At 36.7% G+C, this 27,679-nt stretch overlaps 1 protein-coding gene across 2 annotated transcripts in view, besides 1 other annotated feature; it reads left to right on the top strand.

Moving 5' to 3' along the window:
- Positions 1,605-1,684: a silencer, noted in NCBI's record as "silent region_9383". NCBI's record gives its function as "represses an Ori minimal core promoter by ATAC-STARR-seq in GM12878 lymphoblastoid cells {active_cell/tissue: GM12878}" and the evidence as "EXISTENCE:reporter gene assay evidence [ECO:0000049][PMID:35858748]".
- The window catches only part of DSG3 (desmoglein 3), a 30,962-nt gene continuing 14,097 nt past the window's right edge, over positions 10,815-27,679 (top strand). For both annotated transcript variants that reach the window (NM_001944.3, XM_011525850.3), the window contains exons 1-9: positions 10,815-10,999; positions 19,514-19,549; positions 20,067-20,198; positions 21,519-21,674; positions 22,107-22,251; positions 22,919-23,085; positions 23,907-24,035; positions 24,301-24,486; positions 27,185-27,456. In NM_001944.3, coding sequence (NP_001935.2) covers positions 10,952-10,999; positions 19,514-19,549; positions 20,067-20,198; positions 21,519-21,674; positions 22,107-22,251; positions 22,919-23,085; positions 23,907-24,035; positions 24,301-24,486; positions 27,185-27,456 — 1,271 coding nt within the window. In that variant the 5' untranslated portion in view covers positions 10,815-10,951. The remainder of the gene's footprint in view (positions 11,000-19,513; positions 19,550-20,066; positions 20,199-21,518; positions 21,675-22,106; positions 22,252-22,918; positions 23,086-23,906; positions 24,036-24,300; positions 24,487-27,184; positions 27,457-27,679) is intronic.

A 27,679-nucleotide genomic window follows, 5' to 3' on the forward strand; every position in this document is an offset into this window, starting at 1 on the left:
GCCCAGCTAAGGATCACAATTCAGTTTCCTTCATCTCTACTCCCACATCCAGTGATTCATCCTTCCACTTATTTACTCAACAAGTAGCTGTTGAGAGCCAAGTAGTGGACCAGGTGAGAAGTGGCAAATGAGAGACCTGACCCCTGCTGTCTGAGAGCTTGCAGTCTAGTCCTTCCAAAGGAGACCTACTATTTTGGGCTGCATGCTTTTTCCTGCATTGCTTGCGTGAATTCAGGATTGCTTTGATTTATGATCCAGCCACACACCTGAAGTCACTGCCTAGCGACCCCACTTCCTGTCCTGGTTAGCCTTTTGAATTAGACCCATTGGAGAGAGAGATGCTGGCTCACAGCTGACAAGACTCTCCTAGATCATTGGCTTGGGCTTGGTGATGAAGACAACTAGCCTCCACGTTCACCTGCTAGGAGCTACCCACCTGCTATGGGCCAGGGTTTCCAGTGGTACAGCTGGGATCACTTTTGAAAACTTTTTGTGCTCCTAGAAATTGCTATTGAATCACAGTGCCTCTAGTAATGTCACTTTTTTATTGACACCCATTGTCAGGACAGCAATTCTCTCCCTCTATCTTCAGCAATAAGAATGTTATTTCCAAAGTAGTGAATGATGCTCTTTGGGGATTTCATTTCAAACTGCTAGTAAAAATAAGGCTCTTCCCTATTTTTGCCCCTGTCTCTTTTAATTCAAGTGCACATCTCTATCAGTCATATGAAAAATAAATGAACACAGTTGATCACTCTGTCAATACCTTCAGCAGCACAAGCAGAGCTGATGCATGTGTTTTCAGACCACATTGTTCTTATTTAACGCAAAACACATGACTCAGAGAAATCCAATAGCTCAGTATTTTTATGCTATTTTTGTTACTAGACAAAGCCCTAAAATAATAATTACATATGTATATATATAACACTTTTTCTAAATAGTTTTAAACATCAAATAGTAAAATTCATCTTCTTCAAGATAGTTTAAACATCAAATAGTAAACGTTCTTTTATCTTAATAGTTAATACTTTGAAAGGAAATATATTAAATATATCAATGACAACATTATTTTTAATTTTAATGTTTTAAATCTGTATTTAATTTGATATAGATGAATAAATGTGGTGTTAGGATACGTATTCTAGAGTTCTCAGTGAAATCTTTTTCCATTTCCTTTATAGCTTAGTTACCTCTCCCCTCAGCTAAACACATCATAGTAGTGTTTTCTTGCATTAAAAACCCACTCTAATAGCCTGTCTTGATCCTTCACAGTTTTTTCTATGTTCAAATAATCATTTACAGTCATATATAGTACACACACACACACACACACACACACACACACAATACTATGTACCCTATTCTACATCATGCTCTTCTCACTCAACAATACCCAGTACATATACCTCTAAGTCACCTGGTATATCTCTAATTAATTATTTTTATTACCTGCAAAATATTATACTTCATGTATTCTATGTATCTATTCTAGCATAATGACATATCTGTTAAATGTTAGGGAACCAACATATTTGATGCAAATGAGAAATAAGGTACAGAAAAGGGACAAAATATATATATAAGCGTTATAATTTGTAACATAGTAGATGTGGGTGATGTGGTTGAGATGGACAGTCACAATGAGCATCCTAATACTCATCTCAGAACTGAATTTACTCACCCAGTCACAGACAACCCCCACGACCATGGCAGAAAGATGGAGGGTGCCTCTTTGAGCTTATAGCTAGCATAAGCACAAGATGTGTCTTGTCAACAGGCTGGCTTCAAAAGAGAGAAAACCCTAGATGAGGGTTCATGGGGGCAAGGGGACAATGGGCTGAACCAAACAAGTTTAGTTTCTTCTCCCAAGCTCACCAATCAGATGATTTCTTCCTGCATCCAAAAACAGGAGTGAAGGAGGGATGGGGAACAAGGTCAGCTTTCCTGTAGCTGAAGCCTCCCACATAGAAATGTGAGTTCAGAAACTATAATTATATCTAACAGTTGCTTTTTGAATAATAGTATCCTTATAGTAAATTTTGATATCTGATAAGACAAAACTCTTCAATATTCTTCATAATTATTCTTTTATTAGCTTTTAGGTACATATTTTCTTTCATATAGACTTCCAGATTTTTTTTCATTCTCTCCCACCTCTATTCCCCAGTTATAATATGAATAAAGTCTGAGAATTGCATTAAGCATTTTTTTAGGAATTGATATTTTATAATAGTAATTCTTTTCATCCAGAAATCTAATAATGTCCTTCTATTTTCTTTGATCCTATTTTATGTCCTTCATTAATATTCTTTTGTGGATTCTTAGGAAAGTAACTTTCAAGAATTTTACAATCTTTAACTGAGATTGTGAATAGATTCTTTTTTTCAGTTCACTCTCTAGATCCTTATTACTAGGATAAAGAAAAGTTATTCATTTGTGTATTTATTCTATAAAAATTTACTTTAAAATTTCTAAGAAAAGTACTAAGTGCACATGTGTAATAATAAATTTGAAAACACTGAGATATAAATAATTTCCTACAAAATGTAAATTATCAAAATGTAGGCCCCAAAAAGGAAAACCTTAATAGATCAATTGAATATTGAGGAGCAACCTAGTACAGTAGCTCATACCTGTAATCCCAGGACTTTGTGAGGTCAAGATAGGTGGATAGCCTGAGCCCAGGAGTTCAAGACCAGCCTGGGAAACATGCCAAAATGGCATCTTTACTAAAAATAAATAAATAAATAAATAAAAATACAAAAAATTAGCCAGGTGTGGTGGCGTGCACTTGTATTTTCAGCTACTTGGGAGGCTAAGGTGGGTTAATCACCTGAGCCCAGAAAGTCTAGGCCACAGTGAGCCATGATCATGCCACTGCACTCCAGCCTAGGCAACAGGAGTGAGACCCTGTCTCAAAAAACAGTAATAAATAACGAATATTAAGGAGCTTCAGTATAGCAAAACTTAGTAACTGGAGATAAAATTTCATAAGCTCAAAGCACTTCCTTCAAATGAAAGCTGACCAACCCAATTTAGCAGAAATTGCATCACTTCCGAGTTTAAAGAAATAAAGAGGTGTTTTGAGAATCTGTCCATCCTGACTTCACATCGAAGACTGACATTAAGCCACCACGTTGCACAAGTTGTGCAACATGCACAAACATCCATAAAATTGGCCTAGTGTCTAATGCATCAAAAAGGAAGCCTAAACTGACTCATGGACATGCTGTGCTAATGAAGAAGAGTAGAGGTGGAGTTTTCTCTACCTTTAATCTCTTTCAGGCGTACCTTCCAGAAGAAAGGCCAGATATGTTGCAGCTGTGCCAGCCTCAGATCAAAAACGTCAATTTATGCTGCAAAGATTGTGCTTTGAGAAACACACTAGAATTCAGACTGAATGAATCCATAGGAATCTTAAGAAGTTTCAATAAAGGAGTTGAAATAATGTTAAATGTTAATATGAAACAATAAAGAAAAAAACTATAGGCTAATAATGCATTTTTCTATAAGGCAGATTTTTTTTTAATTTAAGTAGATAGTTTATTTGAGTTAAGCTAGAGGATTGCAACCCAGGAGCATAGATTCAAGTTGCCCTCAGTATATACTCCAGTTAGCAACAAGTGGATTTGTAAAGGCAAAAAATGGGGACCAGAAATGGGCTGATACAAAGTTGTTTGTCAGAAATTCTCACTGGTTTAAAGAAATAATATTGCTTCATGATTAGCTATACATTGTTAAGCTATAGGATAAGTTTGTCCAACTTGCGGCCCGTGGGCCACATGTGGGCCAAGACAGCTTTGAATGCGCCCCAACACAAATTCATAAACTGTCTTAAAACATTATGAGATTTTCTTTTTAGCTCATCAGCTATTATTAGTATTAGTGTATTTTACATATAGCCCAAGACAATACTTCTTCCAATGTGACCCAGGGAAGCCAAAAGATTAGACACCCTTACTATAGATTACAGGTTATGGTGTCCAGTGCGGCATTATTAAGTTAATTTACAGCTGCCTGTGGCAATAGCAAGCAGTTTCGGGAGATGAATACGTAGCTCAAAGGGGAGAGTAGGGCGTGACTGCCACCTCATTTTAATGTATGAGACAGATTTATTAACAATTCAGGTAAGTAATGATTCTAATCATCTTCTTAATGTCAGTGAATAGAATATTGTGTTTATTCAAAGGAGGGCCGGTTAAACATGTCCAAAACTGCAGAGAAAATATTCGTGTGTGTAAACTAAAAGTTTGGTGCTTTCCTAAGCACTACAGATCCACCTGAGATGAAAGCGTTATTCTGTCACCCGAAAAATGCAAGAAAAAAAGAAAATAAGACACTTGAAATGTCTGTTCGCTCTAAAATTAATCTTTCAGGAGATTTTGTAGTTCCTTCTTAAAACACCAATACTAAAACACAGAGTACAATAAGTTGTGCAAGTTTTACAGGTTTGACAAACGAACTTGGAACTTACTAATTATAAAAGTATCAGTCTATGATGCCTCATTAGGTAAAAAGCCAGTAATACATGAGTCTTTGGTAGAAAAATGCACTGACTCTGAAGAATAAAGAATGACAGCCTCCTCTTTTAGAAGCATTTCCATTCCTCATCATGGTAGAGCTAGTAGTTCTCAACTGCAGTCATTCCTGAAATCCTTGGAGGTCATTTTTCCTTAATGTTCCATGCTGTTTTCAGACTCCATTCTTCTACAGACTGGCGTCTGCGGCATGGCAAGAAACACAGATGCTGCTTCATACATTTCCATTAGCAGGCAGGGCTCCAGGCATGTGGTTTCAGAAGCCGGTGGAGCTGTCTACATGTTATTTCTTCCCATGGGTGGAGATCTAAATTAAAACACTCATAAAAAAGAAAATCTCCCTCCTCAGAAATTACCAACAATAAGACCGATACAATTTGATTACTAGAAAAACAGAAGCCAACTCTCCCATGTTACTTAAAAATACTTGAGGACTTCTGAGAATTGTGCTGTTTATCATCAAAAGGAAGATGTAAAATATACAAATGAAGGGGACATAGCAGAACCACAGAGTGTAGTAAATTAATATTTGACTTTGCATAGCTGGTTCTCATCTTTTCATATCATATCATCCTATCACCTGAGATGATGGAAGAGTTAGGACAATGTTAGGTCCAGGAGGGATGCCAGGTTCCCTGGGTCTAACCAAGATCCAGAACTTTCTAAGTTCTAAGTCTAGTGTCTTAGATTGATATACTATTGACATACTTTACCTTATTTTAATTTCTTATGTTCTAATAAATTATTAGAATATTTAAATAACATTTAAATTTCTAAATAGAGCTAAAGTATGTGTTCTCATGAGTGCTATTTTTCTTATAGAAGAAGCAGACAAGATTTACCAATAACAAACTTTATGGGAGGGAGACAGACAAGGAGGAGGGACAGGCATTCTCTTACGTTATCGGTGGGAACATAAATTGGTATAGTCTTATGGACAACAATCTATGAAAAATTTGGACTGTATGTAGTGGAGAAAGGCAATACAAGCAATCCAACTAAGAAATAAATTATGCCATGTATACTAAGCACTATACAAGAAACAAATTGGGATAAATGATTTTTTAAAATGAGGATGAGGGTGCCCAAGTGTTGGGAATAAAGACATCTCTGAGAAGGTCTCATTAGCTACCACTTAATGGTGGGGAGGTTCTGAGTGAAGACTTGAGGCAGAAAGAGCTTAGGGCTTTGGAAGAATTAAAAATGTGCCTGTGAGAGAAAAGGAGTGTGCAATATGCCGGGAGAGGATAATGGAGAATGGGTCAGGCAGTTCCCTATACGACATGACAGGCAGTTTCTATTCTGTTCCAAGCACAGTGGAAGCCGTGATCTTTTTAGAAATAGCACTCAGTGTGCTAAGTGAGGGACAAACTGGACAAGAGGTGAGAAAAAAGCAAAAGCTCAGTTATAAGCCCACTGCCCAGGCTACATGAGAGATGTTAAAAATTTAGCTAATGAGGAAGCTCAGAGAAGAGAACTAAAGTGGATTCAAAATACATTTTGCAAGTAAATCAAACCTTGTCAGTTGTACCTCTGACAAATGAAAACTGAGGAAGAGATTTTCCTAAAAGAAACACTTTGTTAAAGTGAGCATTAGGTTCATTTGGAAAACTCCTTCGTCACACTTTTTATGACCTTACAAATATACTACCACAAATAAGCAATTACCTGACCAGACTAATTCAGAGCAAAAAGAGGTTGACTGTGGTCCACAGCATAAGTAAAACTTTTAGAAAGTTATGTTCATCTACATTTACCCTTCTGAAGTCTGGGTTTAAATCAGCATATGATAAAAATTTTGCAAATCTTTTTAAATAAATCATTCCAGGGATCACAGAAGCATGGTGAACCACATTACATACCATCTAAAAGGAAATTGGGTTAACAGCTCCTTTTACCAATTATTCAAGTGCAGACTGTTCTCTACGGATGCACAATTATTGCATTTTGTTACATTTCTGGATATTTTCATATGATGATCCTAAGGGAAGAGGTGTACGATTTCCATTACTTTGAGTAACAAAAAGTGATAGATCATTATTTTTGCAAGCCATTTCAAGATATATGTATAACTTTGGGTTTTTTTGTTTTGTTTTGTTTCTTGAAGCGGAGTCTCGCTCTGTCACCCAGGCTGGAGTGCAGTGGCGCTTTCTTGGCTCACCGAAACCTCCGCTTCCAGGGTTCAAGAGATTCTTCTGCCTCAGCCTTCCAAGATTACCCTCCTGGGATTACAGGCTCGAGCCACCACGCCCGGCTAATTTTTTTGTATTTTTAGTAGAGATGGGGTTTCGCCATGTTGGCCAGGCTGGTCTCAAACTCCTGACCTCAGGTGATCCACCTGCCTCAGACTCCCAAAGTGCTGGGATTATAGGCGTGAGCCACCATGCCCGGCCCAAGATGTATATATAATTTTGTTAATGCATGATATGTGGAACTATGATCTCAATTCATGAATTTCTGGATATTCAAGAATAATTAAATACCAAAAAGTAGTAACGTCTGAGATATAAGATATATTACATCTTTCCCATCAAAACAAACTAAAGCCAGTGAAGGCTTGCCAGTGAAAGCAAAGTTAATTATCATTCTCTACTTAACAGGCAATAAAAGTTCTGTAGATAATGAGTTCTAGAAACATCATGGAAACCTCTGAAGATACTGCCCATTGGAATAAATATTCATTCTTACTGCTTCACTCCTTATATGACAATATAACATGGTACAATTTCCACCAAAGACAGAAATGATTTCTTTAGCTTTTTCAACCTGTGATGTGTTGTACCCACTTTCCAACTCATATATTTTCAACATGGCACATTAATTGAAGCACAATCTACACACACAATGAAGATCCCTTTCAGTGATTATGATAGTGTGATAATTCTTATCTTTATTTCAACCTCTTGAGTAAGATCCAGTTTTAGGTTGGGCTTCGGTTTCCAAAGACATTATCTAGAGAATAATAACATAACCACTCACTAGAAAACACGGGAAAATTCTTTCTTCTTTCCTTTTCCAAACATAAATGAGAAGAAAGGAGAAAGAACTGCTAAGTCCAGAGGCTCTACACAAATGCACGTCCCAGCAGGACTAACCTGCAGATTACCTTCCTAACACCGTGTAAACGTGGCCCCAATGCAAGGGTGCTTTATTACCGTACTGAGGTCCCCAGTCTTCCAAAGGAAAGGAAGTGTTGGCTTAACAGAGTGCTGTCAAGGGCACTTGGAAAGATGAGAGATCCCCAAATGCCTACGGACAGCACGATGAGATTTGTCGTTGCTTTCTACAATCATCCTGTACAGGGACAAGAAATGGAACCAGCCTGCATCAGACCAATGTGCCATATGATGCTCCTATCAAGTCTGCATTTGCTCTTAATATACTACCTAACCAAGAATCCCTAGATGGTATTTCAAAATACAAAACTGAATTACCAGTGAAATCCTTAACCTGTGTTCAGGTAAGCTAACAGTGGAATGATCATTACCTTTTTAAGCACTAATTAATTAAAATTGTTAACAAACTGGAGTTTTAGAAAATGCAGATCGTAACAAAGTGAATCATATCTAGAATTTAGTCCACAATGCAATTTAATAGGTATGCTTACAAATATAATTCACTGGCTATCATTTTTAAATATCTCCTTTGCCTTCATCACAATAACACTCTGAAGAGTTGCAATATATTAAATGATGGGAAAGAAAAAAACTAAAAGTGTATTGTTTGTCTCTTCTTCCCTGCCTCCAAGTTTAGAATGCTATTATTCATAAAGTCTAGCTTTCTTCACATTATTTTTCAAATAACTTTCTTTTTTAATTATAGAAACAATGTATCCTCATTAAAAAACAAAATCAGAAAATGTAATATATAAAGATGTAATGAAGAAAAAATAAAAATACATCTATAATCCCCTCATTCAAAAAATAAGTTCTAGTATATTATGGGGTTTGTCCATGCTTATATATTTCCTCACATTATATTATAAGAAAAAAGCATCCATATACATCCACATGAACCCAAACTCTCACCACTGTTAAACAAATTCAAACACTAAATTCAGAAAGGTAACCAACATTTTGGTCACTGAATTCCACATTATATAAATCACTAACAAATTCAATAGTACTCAGCTCAGATTTCATCACATTTATTTGTTAACTAGTCTAGTCACAGAGAAATTACCTCCTAACTCAGAAAAGACCTTGTCCTGTGTGTCAGTTTTCCCATGTTGGAAAGGATTCAGTAGTAGTTCACTTTTTGATTTTAGTCAAAAAGTGCATAAAATATGATATATGGAATTTAGTGGGAACTCTACAGAGAACACCAAATTTGATCTTTTGAAATTTTCTTTCCTAGTGGAAGCAGATTTTAAGGGTTCTCTAATTATTTCTCTATTAGCATCAACACTCATCAGATTTGTCACAAATCCATTTAAGATATATGGTAAAACTCAGGGATGAGCAATTTTTCTTTTTTTCTGTAAAGAACAAGAAAATATTTTTGACTTTGTGGCCATACAGTCTCTATCCATATCAACTCTGTTGTTACAACACAAAAGCAGCCATTCACAATGCATGAACAAATGGGCATGGCTGTGTTCCAATAAAACTTTATTTACAAAGTCTTTATTTCAAAACCAAGACTTTTCTGGAAATGAAGAGTGGTAATGGTCATGGTTGCACAACAATGTGAATATATTTAATGCCACTGATTTGTACACTTAAAAATAGTTAAAATGATAGATTTTATGTTATGTATATTTTACCACAATTTAAAAAGAAACAAAAACAAAATTTTGTTCACAAGATGTTTTTTCTAACTCCTAGACTACACAGTCCTTTCTGCTTAAAATACTCTGTGATTGGCCTGGCGCGGTGGCTCACGCCTGTAATCCCAGCACTTTGGGAGCTGAGGCAGGAGGATCACGAGGTCAGGAGATCAAAACCATCCTGACTAACACGTGAAACCCCATCTCTACTAAAACTACAAAAATTAGCCGGGCGAGTTGGCGGGAGCCTGTAATCTCAGCTACTCGGGAAGCTGAGGCAGGAGAATCACTTGAACCCGGAAGGCGGAGCTTGCAGTGAGCCGAGATCGCGCCATTGCACTCCGGCCTGGGCAACACAAAGAGACGCAGTCTCAAGTAAGTAAGTAAGTAAATAAATAAATAAATAAATAAGAATAATGTTTCATTTTCTGTACTACTCGGGAGCCTGAGGCAGGAGACAGCCTCCTCAATTCAGGAGAATTGCTTGAACCCGGGAGGCAGAGGTTGCAGTGAGCCGAGATCGCGCCACTGCTCTCCAGTCTGAGCGACAGAGCGAGACCCCGATTCAAAAAAAAAACTGTGATTAAGTGGTTTCTAAAACCTAATGTGTAATACTTGCAAAGATAAAATTGCTCTTCTACCAAACCTTTCTTTCAATATTTCTGAAACTGTAAAAAGTACTTTAAATTCTAATGTTATAAGCAAAGTAGCTAAAATGGGGCTGGTAATTTTTCCCCTCTGCTTTATCTTGGGTTAGAGTCGAAGTATTTAAGCACTTCCGAGTATGTAACAGCAAGCAGGTTCACCACACTGGGGAAAATGTCTTGAGTAATGAAAAGAGCACCAAGATAATCTACCTTATTAGGCAATCTAGGCTTTTTTGAAAGTTATAAATGAAAAGAAATACAGTATAAAAGATGTCATTTGAGTATTATCAGAGTAATTTTGCAACGCATTATTTATATATTTCAAATATTCAAGGCACCATATAACTGTTCAATTTTATTTCTTTTTTTTTTTTTATTCAAAGCCTACATTCATAGTTGCTTAATGGGATGTTTTTCTTCTTCATATTTTTAGTGCCTTTCAATAAAATATATCATTGCTTAACATCTACATTTTGCTTAACTTTAGATCTACCCACACATACTCAGGCTGAAAATAAATGCTCTTTTACAAGTTAGATTTTGGGGGATTTTGTACGTTTTGCTTTGCTTTTCGGTTTTCATTGTAACCATAGTCAACTAGATTCAGCCATAAGACATCAACACTGACAAAGTGTAGTCCGGACTAGCTTTTGCACTTCCACATCATGATTAATTTATTATTCATCTGGTACCTTCCTATTAAACTTTGTCTTTAGCCTGTGAACTTTTCTTTCAGCTTCCAACAAAGGATTTCATTGCTTTAGGAATCGAGGTGTGGCTAAGTTTTTACCTGGGAGCAAAGGTGATGCAAGCGTTTCTGGTGAGACCTACCCTTGGTTTAGGGTGGGGAGGGACCGCATAACAGACCATCTGTAGACTCCTTCGGAAAGCAGCAGAGACGCTGCAGAGGGCTTTTCTTAGACATCAACTGCAGACGGCTGGCAGGATAGAAGCAGCGGCTCACTTGGACTTTTTCACCAGGGAAATCAGAGACAATGATGGGGCTCTTCCCCAGAACTACAGGGGCTCTGGCCATCTTCGTGGTAAGTCCTGGATTTTCCTAATAATCACAAACTTCCCTGCTTCCTCCCTTGTTAAAGAATATTATATTTGATTGCACAATCTTTATTATAAATTCTAAAAGGAGTGCAGTGGAAATCAACACTTTGAAATGAAATCGTGAAGATTACCAATTTCCTTCTTTTGTTGTTTTTTATGTTGTATTTTACATAGAAAAATAAACCAGAAAGAAATGAGTTTTAAAAACCATTTAGAATTTTTTTTAGTTAATGAATTAAGTAATCTTAATCACAGGTTATATTTTCCACAACATTTTCACTTTCTTTAAAGTTATGCTTTTACTAGTTTTTCTAACCCACAAACAAGAACACAGGAGCCACTTCTATTTTCCAAGATTACATGTCTCTTAGCATATAGCTAAGAACTCTACACGCCTGGGCTTGATACCTGACACGCTTTTAAAAGTAAAAAATCGCAGAATTAAAATCAAAGCAGTGTTTGACTCTAGAGAAGTTGGGAGGATTATTAAGTAAGTATTTATGTTTAGCTATTATGTGCCAAAAGAAAATGTCAGCCTTTGGGGATGGGGGGAAAGACATACAACATTTTAAAGCCATTTTTTTCAGAAAAGTAATACTTCTGTTGATTGAGAAAGTCGTACATAGTATTATCTAAAAGAGAAACGGAATGTTACAGACTGTTTAAAACCTGGATGTTACAGACTAACTTACTCCTTAACTGTGTTCTTATAGCAAAAAAAAAAAAAGAAAAGTCACAATATTATCTGTTACACGGAGATATCAAAATAGTTAAATATACCTTAAAAATGAATGTCAAAACAATTCCTAATGCTAATTTGTATGGTTTCCATGATAAGCTGGGTTGGCCTAGGCATCAATTTACCTCATTTCTTCATGAAAAAAATTGAGATAAATGGACTTCAAGAAGTCACAGGGAGATAGATCTCAAGAAAGGACTTTCTTAGCTCTCCCTAAGATTTTTGTTTTTGTTTTTGTTTTTGAGACAAGGTCTGGCTCTGTTGCCCAGGCTGGAGTGCAGTGGTGCGATCTCCAACTTCTGCCTCTGGGGTTCAAGTGATTCTCGTGCCTCAGCCTCCTGAGTAGCTGAGATTACAGGCGTGCACCACCACAGCCAGCTAATTTTTTTGTATTGTTAGTAGAGATGGGGTTTTGCCATGTTGACCAGTCTAGTCTCAAACTCCTAGCCTCAATGGATCCGTCCACCTCGGCCTCCCATAATGCTGGGATTGCAGATGTGAGCCACTGCACCCAGCCTCTAAGATTCTATTTCTATTACGACAATGTAACTGTGTTCAGTACCTGATTTTATTTGAAAGGAGGATGTTGTTAAAGAGAAATGTGACAGTTGTATGACTTTCCCACCTTTCCAGATGGGAAATGTCTGGGCTGAACCCCAGGTGGTCTGATAACCCCTATGTCCAAGCCAATGGCAAAGCTCAGGAAGTTAGGGGCCATGCAGCATGGGCTGTCGGGATAGTATTGCCATGAGGACATAGGATTGGGCCACCATAAGCTAAGGGGGATTCTTTTTTTTTTCTAATTTGACATATAGGACACTCTCAATTACTCCTCTGATTCTGGAGTGACTGTGACATCCTTATATTGAGGCTAATTTTTATTTTTATATTCTCAATGCTTATTATATCTGTCTTAGAGTGGACATGCAATTGTTTGAAGAATGAGTAAATGAATGATTTAATGAGCCTTCTCTAAACTAAAAAACCCCCGCACAATGTCCCTATAATTCTAGTCATAAAGGAAACTATGAAATGACATGTATTTGGTTCCACTCAAGAAAATTTTACATACACATGCTGTTTAAACAACAGTATAACTTCATACATAATTGTTCAACTGAGTGGTCTAGACCTACTCTGTCCCATATGGTAGCCACCAGCCACATGTGGTTTTAAGCCACTTGAAATGTGGTTGGTCTGAGTTGAGGTGTGCTATTTAATATAAAATATACATCATAATTTGAAGAAGACTTTGAATGAACAAAAGAATGTAAAATATGTCAATAATTTTTTATGTTGATTACATGTTGAAATGATAGTATTTTGGATGTATTAGATTAAGTTAACCGTATTGTTAAAATGCATTTCACCTTTTAAAAACGTTTTAAATGTGACTAAATTTTTTAATTATATGTGGTTCGCATTTGTGGTTTTTAGCTTTCTATTGGACAGTACTGGTCTACTATTAATGCTATTGATAGAAGGCAGTGTCAGTCAGGAGAGAGGCAATCAAGTCTTTATGGATTCAGTGAAATTTGAGCTGATTTGGGATAAGTATAGATGGACGGGCCAAAAGGAGATCTCTTGGGTTGTCAGAAGAGTATAATCAAAGGCAGGCACAGTTAGGATTTGCCTAGGGGAAATGGACACACCAGTATGACTAGCATGACAGTTTGCTTTGGAGAATCTGGACATGAATTGGAAAGGCAGCTGAGGGTCAGATTGAAAAGTGCATTTTGTGAAGGCTCATGGAAACCTTTTACAAGTGGGGAGCCACCCAGAGTTTTGAAATAATGTGGTCATGGGGGGGAAAAGCAATGTTTTCTAAAGCATTCTCAAGTGGGAATGCTCATTTTTTGTTGTTGCAGGGTGGGTTCTGAAAGTTGGCAGATGTGTTTGAAGGTTTTGTAATAATCCACCATCCAATGACCATACATGGGTTGCCCAGAACAGTGAGAAATAATAGCAAAGTCATAGACTTAAATCTCTGGCTATGCCACTGACTCACTACAGGCTTTGTTTCCTCAACTGTCAAATAAGAATCACACCCCACCCCCTGCCTAATGAAAATGGTCATAGTGAGAATAAAGCAGCAATGCATGCAAAACAATTAAAAAGTGCTGTGAGAAAGATGAAGTGATTTGTAAACCCTTTAATTTTTATCACTTGTACTATTTTTAGTAATGGGGTAATTCTTGATAACTTCTTCACATTGTGTCTTACTATCTTAAATAACCATGGATACCAGTGTTAGTAAGTCAAGAAAGGGCCTGCATTTGTCTTGAGCTAAAAAGTATATCAAAAACAGTTGTCGTATCAATTTTTAAATTGACAGGAAAAAATAAAAGCTATATTTGGGAGGAGAAGGCATGGGGAATAACTGTCTACTATTGAAAAAAATGTGGTATTTATCAGTTTCTTGTGCTTGTTTGATCCATTTTATGCAACGTAAAATAAACGTTTTTGAGGAAAGGACTCATGGTTGAAAATGCTTATCTTCAGAGATTTAATCTTTTGAAAAAAAAATTTATCTTCAGAGGAAACCATTGTGTTTTGTAGTCCACCAAATCCGAAACAGTTTGTCATCCAACACTGCTATGAGCATTTGGACAATTTGCTATATAACTTTATGTTACTATATTAGGTAAAGCTTTCCTCACTAAAAATTAATAGAGATGTTTGAAATCTAAAGATTTTTAGAGTACAATTTTTTTAAAGAAGTTGGTGGTAGGAAAAAAAAGAGAGAAGCAGTTTAAATACCAAGTTTGAGTTAGCAAGTGTTCTAAATACAGCACAACTATCTTCAACCACTTTGTTTTCTATAAAACATCTAAAAAGAAAATCTTTAGAAAAAGAATTCTAGGCTAAATGGCCCAAATGTTTAACAAAATGAAAAATCTCTAAGATATCTCTTCTTCTCCTGATTGACCCAGTTTCCAGCACTGCTAATATATATAAAAATAAATGTCCTACTGAACTTCCCAAAAAGTTAATATTCTAAAATCAGAATACCCTTGCCAAATGGTTCTTCCAGCCCTGCCTACTTGGGCAGAAGTCAGGAAAGATGTAATTACTTCTACCAATTAGCACTCCCTCTTGCTTCATACCTGAAACCGGTTTTCATCTGGAACTAGAACACTCAGTGCTCATGAGGTTTCTCACAAACCTTTTAGCCTTTGGCTCTTTCTGTCCACTTAAGAGTCAAGCTGGTAGCCTAAGGTGAGGCCTTGCTTTGGGTAGTTCACCATAAGAAAATTACATAGACAATTTGGTTACTACTCATAATCACAAGATGAATAATTGAATCTGTCTAATATACACCTTTTTCTTGGAGAGCTGCTGTGCAGCTGGCTAGGTTGTACACTGCACAACTCCAGGAGGTGCATTCACATAAACTACAGCGTGAGGAGTGCCCTGGCATTACTCAAGGAGCAACCTACACAATTGTACAGTGGAGTACTGTTTCTTTTCTCCTTCTCATGGTCAAGAAAGAGAACAATCTTATGCACCTTGACAGTGAATAATTACAGGTCACTTCACATAAAAATGGCTCTTTTAGGCTGGGTGTGGTGGCTCATGCCTGTAATCCCAGCACTTTGGGAGGCCAAGGCAGGCAGATCACGAGGTCAAGAGATTGAGACCATCCTGGCCAACATGGTGAAGCCTCATCTCTACTAAAAATACAAAAATTAGCTGGGCTTGGTGGTGCGCACCTGTAGTTCCAGCTACTCGGGAGGCTGAGGAAGGAGAATCGCTTGAACCCGGGAGGCAGAACTTGCAGTGAGCCGAGATGGCGCTACTGCACTTCAGCCTTGTGACAGAGCGAGACTCCGTCTCAAAAAAAAAAAAAAAAAAAAAAAAAAAAGCTCTTTTATGCCTCTTTTGAAGTTTGGTGACAGAATTGGTTAACATTTTATTAAATGGCAATTTAATAAAACTAACTTACTTTGGGCTGGGCTCACCTATGTGCTTTACACCTATTAATTTAATCCTCACAACAAACCTATAAGGTAAGTAAAATTAATTTTTATTCCTATTGTACAGATGAAGAAACTGAAAGATTAAGGAATGTTCCCAAGTTATATGCTAGTACATGGTTGGGAGTTGGATTTAAATTCAGTGATTCAGAATCCAGTATCCAATTTTATATTATCATACTTGACTGCAGCCTACACAGCATTTCAAATGAGCATTTAAGAATATCCAGGGATATTTATTTTTCTTAGCATTCTGTCATGATACAAGGCTTAACTTTCTAAATTAATTGAATTTACTCTAAAAATCAGTTATTGGAAATTGAATTCTTCACAATTAAATAATTTCCAAGTAATCAGATATATATCAACTTTGTTCAATTAAGGAATTTGCTTTGATAAATACAAAGTTTATCACAATGTTTCAGAGTTTTTAAATTTTAAATTTCAATATATATAGAAAGCTATGAGATATTATGAAAGATGCTAATATGAATGATATTACTTACCTGTGTATATTTCATGACATTTTTCCCAAAAAAATTTAATAAATACAAAATCATGTTTAAAATTTGGACTGATTTATTTGAATTATCTAATTCATTCTACAAATTTCCCCAAGAATCCCCATTCTAGAAATCAGAAGTGTAGTCAGGCCCTAGGCCTGGCTGGGATGAGCTACCTGCATCTAATCCATAGTCTTATGTTCTGTCCCCTGCCACACTAAAGCATGAGGTAACCCCAAACAAGATCTCGGCCAAACTAAAGAGCAGGTGCTATTATACTTGCTTTTTGTTTAATCTAGCTACCCATATCCTCAGATTATATTTATTGTGTACATACCATATTCAATAGGAACCTTAGTGATACAACCATATACATTTTTATTAACAAATAGAGCATATGGATATCAAATTGCTTTATTTCATATATTTTTTAAATTTAATAATTAGATTTGCTTTTGATAATATTTGTAATTCATATCTATACCAAGGCACTAAGGCTATATCAATGCTTTAAAAATCATATAATTAAAATTTACAAAATAACCAGAAAACAAAAAGAAAGAAAAGTACAGTAATTCTCAAGATAAGGGAGGTTTTCTCCATGTTGGTATTTCCAATCCAGGCCACCAAAAGAGACAACTTAGTTCATTCAAATCGTCAGAAAACTATGTAAATATTTATTGGCTTGATTTAGTCATTCCACAGTTTATACATATCTCAAAACAACATGTACATGATAAATATATACAATTTTGTCAATGAAAATAGATTTACAAATAAAAACACATAAATTGTTTTTAAAATGTCCAAAATTATTATATTAGCAAATTAACTAAAACAAGTAGCCATTATATAAATATTAACTAAAATAATTTTTTTAAAAAAATACTATTCTAAATAATGTAAGGCTGTGCTGTCCTCTAAAAATCTGAAGATCATTGCAATATTCAGAAATGTTTCCCATCACCTACTTCCTGGGAAAACAAATATTCTACCTTATTGTGTATTAGAAGAATCATTCTCTGTAGGGCTAGTCCAAGCATGATTCATATTTTCGGGATGACTCTCCAGTTTTCCTGTAAAGGGGAGCCTGCCTGGCCCATCCCTCCTCTCATGTGTAGCTGAGTCATTTTTATGCGCTGAGAAAGGAATTGTGCAGTTACTACATTTATCTGGTCTTTTCTACCAAGTAACTCAAGGTACTGCTTTAAAAAGAGCAACAATGTTGGAAAATAATTTTGAGACATGTTATAACCACAAGTAATGGTTCTTTTCCATGACAAATTTGAACACGCACTCTTTGGAATCAAGGTTTCAGCTGGAATGTCTAGAAGGGAAGAGTCCTGACATCTTATGTCTGACATAATTACTCATTTGGTTCAGACTTGGACTAGTCTATTCATTATAACCCTAGAAAATAAACAATCTACATTGTTTCAAGAGCAACCATAGTCTTTTGCCAAATAGAAATCTAAATTGACTGTCATATAATTTTCTTTGTACCATTAGTTTGTTTTTTTTTTTTTTCTCTTTATGACAACTTTGGTTAGAATTTAGCAGTAGTTGGCTCACACCTGTAATCCCAGCACTTTGGGAGGCCAAGGCGGGTGGATCACCTGAGGTCAGGAGTTCGAGACCAGCCTAACCAACATGGTGAAACTCCGTCTCTGCTAAAGATACAAAATTAGCCGGGTGTGGTGGTGTGCCCATGCCTGTAATCCCTGTTACTCGGGAGGCTAAGGCAAGAGAATCCCTTGAACCCGGGAGACGAAGCTTACATTGAGTCAAGATCGCACCATTGCACTCCAGCCAGGGCAAAAATTGCACTCCAGCCAGGGCAAAAAGAGCGAAACTCCGTCTCAAAAAAAAAAAAAAAAAGAATTTAGTAGTAGTGAGGTACATGCTCTGGAGTTAGGCTACTGCGGTCGCTATCCTATTATGGCCATTAGCTAGGGCAAAGTATTCATTCCCTTGCATCTCCAATTCTTCATCTGTATACTAGGGATTATAATACTAGAATCTCCTTCAGGTGCCTGCTGTAAGTATTACATAAAACAGTAAGTATAAAGCTCTAGGAGTAGCAGCTGATACCGAAACTACACAATAAACATTAGCTACTGTTATTACTCTTCTAGTTTTTTTTTTCTTCTGACTTATTTTCCACCATTATTTTCCGACCAGATTCATCCGATAATCAGTGGATTAGCAAATACTTGTTAAGCACCTGTGAGGGTTACAAGAAAAAAAAAATAACCTAATAGCACTGAACTGGAAAGTTTACAATACTCCTGGCTTAGCACAGAAATTCTTTCATGTGCATAAAACAAGAAATAATAAACTGTGGTAAACCATCATGGGCTAAATTTCATGGTACAGAATATGTGTTGTACAAACTCAGAAAAAGAGACATCAGTAAAGACAATTTCATGGAGGTTGTTGGAACTTGATGGATCTGGAAGGATGAGCAATATTTAAGTGGGTGGAGTAGAAAGAGGTAATGCATGCCAGGCAGAACAGAAGATGAAAAATGACACAGATGAATGTCTCATATGCTCTTGAGAAGGTGAAGACCCTAGCCTACATGGCTTCATTTTACTGTCATTTAATTTTTTGGGGCCACTCTGAAAATTAAGTTCAATATTTAAATTGAAGTAATAGAGCAGAGATGAACAGATCCATGTCTCACTGCAAACAGGGTTTGTGATTGGAATAGCATATCCTCATCTTTTACGTTTTGTTCTCTAAACCAGACTGGTTCCATTCCATTCTTTTCACTTGTACAATTAAAGAAAATGTTCTGTAATTGTAGAGGACTAATACAGGATTGCCTTCCTACAAATCAGTTGGGTGGCTGAAGGTTTTTAATAATCCCCTGTGGCCCCTTTCTGAAGCATTTCACAATGGTGCTTACCAATGTTTCCCAAAGCAATGACTTTCATAGCTTCCAGGAACGGTGTATAAAGCAGCCAGGTAAGAATTGTGTGGTTGCTGCAACTGACTATTAGGCATAGTTTTTGCAAAGTCCAATAGGTTCTTCTTTATGTCATCAAAATTCTGTAGTCAATTAAAAAACTGGTGGAATGTGTTTATATTGACAGTAATATTCCTTTTCCTGGTAGGAACTTACCCTTTGATTATGGCTTCTTGAAACTTACTTCTTTTGAAATAGAAACAAATCACAATATGAACAATAGAATATAATAATCAGGATTATTCATTGTATATAATTCCTTATTTGAAGAATTCACATTTAATTCGACTTTATTTAAATGTCTGCAGGTGGTCATATTGGTTCATGGAGAATTGCGAATAGAGGTAAAGTATGAAAAAGGTTTTTGTACTTAAAATAATAGTTTAGTTTAAAAAAAAATTAAATTGTGTTTAGTAGAAATGAATATTTAATTTCTAAAATTATTCAATAATTTAATTGTGAAAATATATAAAATTAAAATTCTAATAACTGATAACAATATTTTAAAACTAGTCATCCATAAATGTCATTATTATAATTTATTTCATGCATTCTTTTCTTCTTATCTTAAACAAATCAGCTGGTCAAACCCTATGGGCCCAGTAAGATACTGTGGAGTATAAAAAGAAAATATAAAATACGACTAAATGCTAATATTAAAAATCACATAGCTTTGTAGTTATTTTAGTTATTTAACATTTATTACTTGCTTGACAAAGTATCAGGTAGAGCTAATTAGATACCTAACAGTCTTAGTGATCTTGAAACATAGGGGGTTCCTCAACTAGGTGTCTGTAATCAATATTCTAAGCAAAAATTGCCATTAATTTCCATAACAAATGGAATCCCTTTTTACATAAGACTAAAGGTCAATATGATGAAGAAGAGATGACTATGCAACAAGCTAAAAGAAGGCAAAAACGTGAATGGGTGAAATTTGCCAAACCCTGCAGAGAAGGAGAAGATAACTCAAAAAGAAACCCAATTGCCAAGGTAAGTTATATCAACAGGAGCGTATGAGTTTTTAGAATAAATGTATAAGGTGTAAATTAAAATAATACGGCAATTCCAAATAACAAAATGAAGACTGGGGAGTCCACAGAACAAGTGAACTGGTATCCTCAACAAAATAGTACAATAATAATAATAATGAGAGAAAGAGAGAAAGGAAGGTAGCTTCTAGGGTTATGAAAAAGAATTGAGACAAAGAATTGAGACATATTGACCAATTTTAATATAGAAGGCTTACTTGGATACAGAGTCTAGCAAACAAATAGGAAAAATAATGCATGTATAAGACAGAAATGGTTGGGAGCAAAATATGGATTGGTCATGTATTGATAACTGTTGAAGCTCAGTGATAGGATGTATCAGGTTTATTATACTATTCTCTTTCTTTCTTTCTTTCTTTCTTTCTCTTTCTTTCTTTCTTTCTTTCTTTCTTTCTTTCTTTCTTCTTTCTTTCTTTCTTTCTTTCTTTCTTTCTTTCTTTCTTTCTTTCTTTCTTTCTTTTTCTGAGATGGAGTCACTGTGCCTCCCAGGCTGGAGTGCTGTGGCGCGATCTCAGCTCACTGCAACCTCCTCCTCCCAGGTTCAAGCAATTCTCCTGCCTCAGCCTCCTGAGTAGCTGGGATTACAGGCGTGTGCCACCATGCCCGGCTAATTGTTTTTGTATTTTTAGTAGAGACGGGGTTTCACCATATTGGCCAGGCTGATCTCGAACTTCTGACCTCATGATCTGCCCACCTCGGCCTCCCAAAGTGCTTGGATTACAGGCATGAGCCACCACGCCCAGCCTGTTATACTGTTCTAACTTTACATATATTTCACATTTTTCATGTTAAAAAGCTTTAAAATTACAATAATAATAAGTAAATTATTTTAATACATATTTTAACCCTACCATACAATCTCTTTCCCTTTTTGTCTCTCCACTTCCCCCTATTTAAACTAAATAAATATCTTTTGTTTTTTAATGTTGTCAGGTAAAGAGGGAGCCTTCAGGAGTAGCCTTGTCAATATTAAATGACTTTGACTTTCTTTTAACATTTTAACACTATCATGTGGCCACAGTCTGAGCAAATATTCTAACACTAAAATGATTAGTGCACATCATTGGTTCAGGCTGGTTGTCAAAAACAACGGTTTGATTTTATTTCATATTCCTAGTATCTATCAAGGCAAAAAGTAAATGGCACAATGTCAAAAAGAGTGAATCGAATGAACAGATGACTTTAGACTATGGAAGTGGGGGTGGAGAGGGAAAGGCTTGAGTGATGGTCACCTCAACGTTTTTGGTATTTGGGGCTGTAGATTACTTCAGATTACCAAGCAACCCAGAAAATCACCTACCGAATCTCTGGAGTGGGAATCGATCAGCCGCCTTTTGGAATCTTTGTTGTTGACAAAAACACTGGAGATATTAACATAACAGCTATAGTCGACCGGGAGGAAACTCCAAGCTTCCTGGTAAGTTTGGGTCCTCAACATTGGGCTACCCTTCTCCTTGTATACCATCGCTTTAGAAAGTGACAGTTTTCTACTGGTAAATTTAGAGGAGAGTTCAGTACATGCATCAGTCCACCAGCAAATAACAATATTAGTCCCTCCACAGAGCCTCGCCTGAGGGAACACAGCAGAGGGTGCATGAGTGAGGGTTGAAATCTAGCACGCCAAGTGCTTCAGTTTGCCATGACACAGCATTAGCCTGGTGGAAGGGGCAACTTGCCCAGTTGGTCTGCCCAGAGCAGGCACCTTTTTCCACTTTGTCTACCCTTTGGGGAAACATTTCTTCTTTGCACAAAAGTGATGTCCATGCCAACAGAGGCCTTATTTATACAAGTTTTAATAGTATGAAAACTGATTGCAGAGTAATACTCCACATTTTCCCTCTGTTCCTAGATCACATGTCGGGCTCTAAATGCCCAAGGACTAGATGTAGAGAAACCACTTATACTAACGGTTAAAATTTTGGATATTAATGATAATCCTCCAGTATTTTCACAACAAATTTTCATGGGTGAAATTGAAGAAAATAGTGCCTCAAGTAAGTCTTTTACAGTACTTACCACTTTCAGTTTATCTACTTTCAAATATGAGTCCCACTACAATATGTCATTCTTATAAACTAATTTATGCTCTTAGTTTAATCAGTAGTTTTGAAAAATAAAATTCATTAAGATAAATCTGGGTCTTCCTTTCTAAAATGTGTATTTGAGCTAATTATTTACTATCACTGTATTTCTAGTTATAGTCTGGTTATCAGGTCAATAGTATCTTATTCTATATATACAATTTATATGAGCATTTGGCAGTCACAAAGCTAAACAGGCAGCCTTGGGTAGCCTGGATGCATCAGCTGGGCTCTTTCAGGTTATAAAGGACAGAGACACACTCACATTACTTGGATAATTTGTGGAAAGGGGAGAATTATGACAATCTATCAAGGGAGAAAATTGAGATAGAATATAGCCTCAATCTCAGCAAACGTAAGGCTTAGAGAGAATCGAAGAGTTTGTATGGAAGGAAGCACAGTTCTACCTGGTTGGGAGAGACAGAAAGAGGTATCACAAGTGATATACAATTTTTTGAACATACAGATGATTTTAGGATATTTAAAAATTAGCATCAATGTGAACTTGTTTGGAATATTTAAAGTAAACATAATGTTAATTGTTACATATTCTTTAATAAACGTTTTCCTGTATTCCTAGACTCACTGGTGATGATACTAAATGCCACAGATGCAGATGAACCAAACCACTTGAATTCTAAAATTGCCTTCAAAATTGTCTCTCAGGAACCAGCAGGCACACCCATGTTCCTCCTAAGCAGAAACACTGGGGAAGTCCGTACTTTGACCAATTCTCTTGACCGAGAGGTACAGCAAAGCACTTGGGGGAACATTCAAGATTAAAGGGTTTGATTATAAGAAAACCAAGAGAGGTGACTCCATTTTACCCGAAAATTAAAAAAGAAAAGAGGTTCTCAGTACTTAACTTGGCTAATCTAGGGAAATTGTTTGCATTTTTAAGTGTGATTCTGGTGAGGCGAGATGTGTACCGGGCACCTGCAGAATCAGTTGTACCCTGAACATACCAGTGGAAGTTAAATAGGGGCAATGAAAGAAGGCATTGACATAGACATACATGGACAAAGATTGAACTGCAGCTAATTCCTCATGTGATGGAGGAGAAGCAAGTGTCTTAGATGAAGGGAGAAATTTCTGTCTGGAATAAAGCCTTCTTTTATATCACACTTTTTCTCCTGACTTCTCTTAATTTTATCCCTGCTTCCAGAGCACTAAAGAATCTCCTTCTCCAATCCCCCTCATTACCTACCACCACCACCTTCTATCTCCATTACCACAGGCTACCCGGTCAGACCCCATATTATTTTTGTACAAATGGCTTTCCCAATAGACTAACAGAGAAGCTCCATAAGTGAGCTTATTACTCCCACCCTACTCATTGCCCATTTTTGCTCTAAGGTTACGGTAGAGTACAGTCCTGCCATAAGAAGCTCACAAAACAGAAAACCTGCCCTAGCCCCTTAAAGACCTCCACCCAACCATCCAGAGTCCCACAAATGTCTTCTACATAAAATTGAATATTTCTACCTCCTTACCCATAGGAATCAAGTAGTTTCCATTTATAATTCTTTGGGATTAATTATTTTTCTTTATTTTTTATCCAAAATTAGCAAGCTAGCAGCTATCGTCTGGTTGTGAGTGGTGCAGACAAAGATGGAGAAGGACTATCAACTCAATGTGAATGTAATATTAAAGTGAAAGATGTCAACGATAACTTCCCAATGTTTAGAGACTCTCAGGTACACCCATTGCTCCTTAAAGAATCATTTAGATATATATTTAATACTTTGAAATCCTAATTCAGGACTTGCCTGTTTGTTGGCTTTTATTTAAGTTCTCTGCACTTATCTTTAAAGAAATATGCTTTTTAAAAAATATAAGAATTCAGTAATAAGAAGAAGGAAATACATAATTTGAGAAATAAGGATTACCATTTAGAAGAAACATAATCTCTCCATGTAAAACCTGTCATTAGGTCTTTAATTCTGCTTCTCGCCTTTTCAGTATTCAGCACGTATTGAAGAAAATATTTTAAGTTCTGAATTACTTCGATTTCAAGTAACAGATTTGGATGAAGAGTACACAGATAATTGGCTTGCAGTATATTTCTTTACCTCTGGGAATGAAGGAAATTGGTTTGAAATACAAACTGATCCTAGAACTAATGAAGGCATCCTGAAAGTGGTGAAGGTAAGGTCTGACTTCCCTTCATTGGTAAAAAAAATTCTGTATTAACCAAAATGATCATTTCTACAGATAAAATGTATTTATTTGTTAATATCACTTTATTACAGAAAACACATAAAAGTAGATTGAATTTTTTGTAATCCCCATAGAGCCGCTTTACCTGAGGACAACCTCTCTTAACATCTTGAACTCATTCCAAGCTATTGAACTTTCTATAGTAAACACAAACACACTAACATGCTATGGGAGTGATGATGTATACTTTAAGCACATGGTCATATATTATGGGTGTCCATACTTTAAGCACAAGAAAGCAAAACACATTTCTTGACTTAATCTCATTTGCAACAATCAGATTGAAGTTAGGACAAGATAAGAATGGATGGAATCACGTCTTGCCCATTCGTCAATCGGTTTTAAATGGATTAGCTACAGTCAATAGAGAATAAATGGCAACTCTTCCTACAAAATGGGAATTTATGAACAAAATCTGCAAAATAAAAGATAAATAATTGGGTAAAGCTTTTAATATGCTTGGCTATGACAGACTCCTTATCTGAGAGTGTGATCTGGGCCCCTTCCTTGGTACAGCACTTTGGTTTTTCGTTTGGTTGGTTGGTTTTTGTTTTTTGTTGTTGTGGTTGTGGTTGTGGTGTTTTTGTTTTTGTTTTTGTTTTTTTTGAGACAAGGTCTCACTCTGTCATCTAGGCAAGAGTGCAGTGATGTGATTTTGGCTCACTGCAGCCTTCACCTCCCAGGCCCCAGTGATCCTCCCACCTCAGCCTCCTGAGTAGCAGGGTCCGCATCATGTGCCATCATGCCCGGCTAATTTTTATAGTTTTAGTAGAAATAAGGTTTCACCATATTGACCAGGCTGGTCTCGAACTCCTGATCTCAAGTGATCCACCCGCCTTGGCCTCCCAAAGTACTGGGATTACAGGCATGAGCCATCGCATCTGGCCCTTGGTACAGCATTTTGGATTCTATGAGAGCGTCCTTATTTAAACCTTAAATCCAGTTGAGTGACAGACCATATAATCCTTTAACAAGGGGGCTGCTGAAAGCTGTACATGCAGTCCTTTGTTACTGTACTCTTTGGGACAAGTGCCACAGCCATCCCCACTTGTAAGGGTTTTGTTATAAACTCCCACCAATGCCTGGGAGTGAGCTATTCTCTATCTTGTGTATTGGTGTCATTCAGTCTCCCAAACTAGAAACGTGGGCCTTACCCTGAATTGTGACATTTCCTCACAGCATACAGCCTTAGAAATTGTCTTTGAAGTCTGACCCTCTTCTACCTCCTTACTGCCTGTGCCCTGGCCTGGCTTTTCCTCTCTTCTCTTAGATGATTGCAGTCCCTCCTAATAGATATCCCTACCTCTTGTCTCCATTGACTTTGTTCTCCTCATTCTTACCAGTGCACCACCACATTTTTCTTAAAAACAATTTGGATCCCTTACTCTTCTCTTTAAAACCATCCCTGGCTCTACACTGGCTATGAAGCTGGCCTTCAACCCTAATTACCAACTCAAGTTACCTGCAACTTTCCCTTGACAGTAAGGGTGTAGGAACTATTGGAGAAGCCCAGGCAGCAGTGGGTCCTTAAGACTCCTCAGGTGACTCTACAGTCAGCCAGGGTTGCTAGCTCCTAGCCCTTTAAGATGAAATTCACAAGGCAATTTGTTATCTGTATTCAGCCTGCAACTGCTTTCACCTATGCCTGGATAATTTCCCGGCATCCTTCAACACTCAGCTTAGATGAATACCTCTCAGAAACCCTTCATAGCTCTCCTAAGTAGAATTATTCCTTTGCTTTCACACATAGACCCTATCATCTCTTTTGCCTCTTACCCCTTGTATTATAGTTCCATGTTTAGACATCTTTCTCTTCCACTTCACTGGAAAATGCTTGAGCACACAAAGCCAGTCATTGCAAAGTTAAAACTTAAATCCAGATCTCTTACTTGAATCATTTTTAGTGATATACAGTTGTAACCAATATGAGCATTTTCTTATCTCATCACTCTCAGAAAAATTTACTAGTGAGTGAAGAAAAGTTATCCTGGGATTCCTCAGGCCTTGATTTGGGCCACCTCAATAAGGGGATCAAACAAATGGCTATCATGCAAGACCTTCTGAAAATGAGTCCACAAAGAGTTTGCCTTTCCCACCTAAGAATTTTTAAAGTCAGGAAAGATACCATTGTACATAAATCCAGTGAAGATTCTGCAAATGACCATAACTGCCAGTTATAAGAACGTATTAGGGGCCTTGATTTGTTCAGTCCTCACTACACCCTGATGAGGTAAGGCTTTTTTTTCAGAAGTGGAGAGTTGAGGATCAGAGAAAACAAACATTGTTCCCTGAGTCACACAGCTATTAAGCAGCAGAACCAGGATTCAAATCATGTTACCATAGCAAACTTGGGGTTCTTTCCACTGCACCTCATAGCCTAAAGAGACTATGATGATGTCTTTCTAGTCTGAAAGAGGTACCCTTATTAGTACCAAACTGAGGTCTCATGAGTTAAGAATCCTAAAGCTTTCTCTGTCTCAACATTACAATAATTTCTGAAGCTGTTTTGCTATTTAAAAACAAGAGAATTCATTCACAGCATCTTGCATAGTGTGCTGTCATCATCTACTGGGTTTGCGGGAGTGTATTTTTGTGAAACTGCCTTCTAATTTTATTTTTTCTCCAGGCTCTAGATTATGAACAACTACAAAGCGTGAAACTTAGTATTGCTGTCAAAAACAAAGCTGAATTTCACCAATCAGTTATCTCTCGATACCGAGTTCAGTCAACCCCAGTCACAATTCAGGTAATAAATGTAAGAGAAGGAATTGCATTCCGTCCTGCTTCCAAGACATTTACTGTGCAAAAAGGCATAAGTAGCAAAAAATTGGTGGATTATATCCTGGGAACATATCAAGCCATCGATGAGGACACTAACAAAGCTGCCTCAAATGTCAAGTAAGACTATTTTTATTTATATCCTATTTCTTGATGAGGTTTTAATCTATAAGCTATCACAACATAACACATAAACTATTATGTGCCAAGAATAGAGATATGACATTGATTAAAAACAAGAAACTGGGTAACTCAAAAAGTAACATTTAGCTAAATCATTAGGTGATCATCTAACTGTACTAGAAGCAAAGATAACATAAGCACAAGTTACAGTGGAAACCAA

This window comes from Homo sapiens, chromosome 18 (genome assembly GCF_000001405.40).
Source record: "Homo sapiens chromosome 18, GRCh38.p14 Primary Assembly".
NCBI lineage: Eukaryota > Metazoa > Chordata > Mammalia > Primates > Hominidae > Homo > Homo sapiens.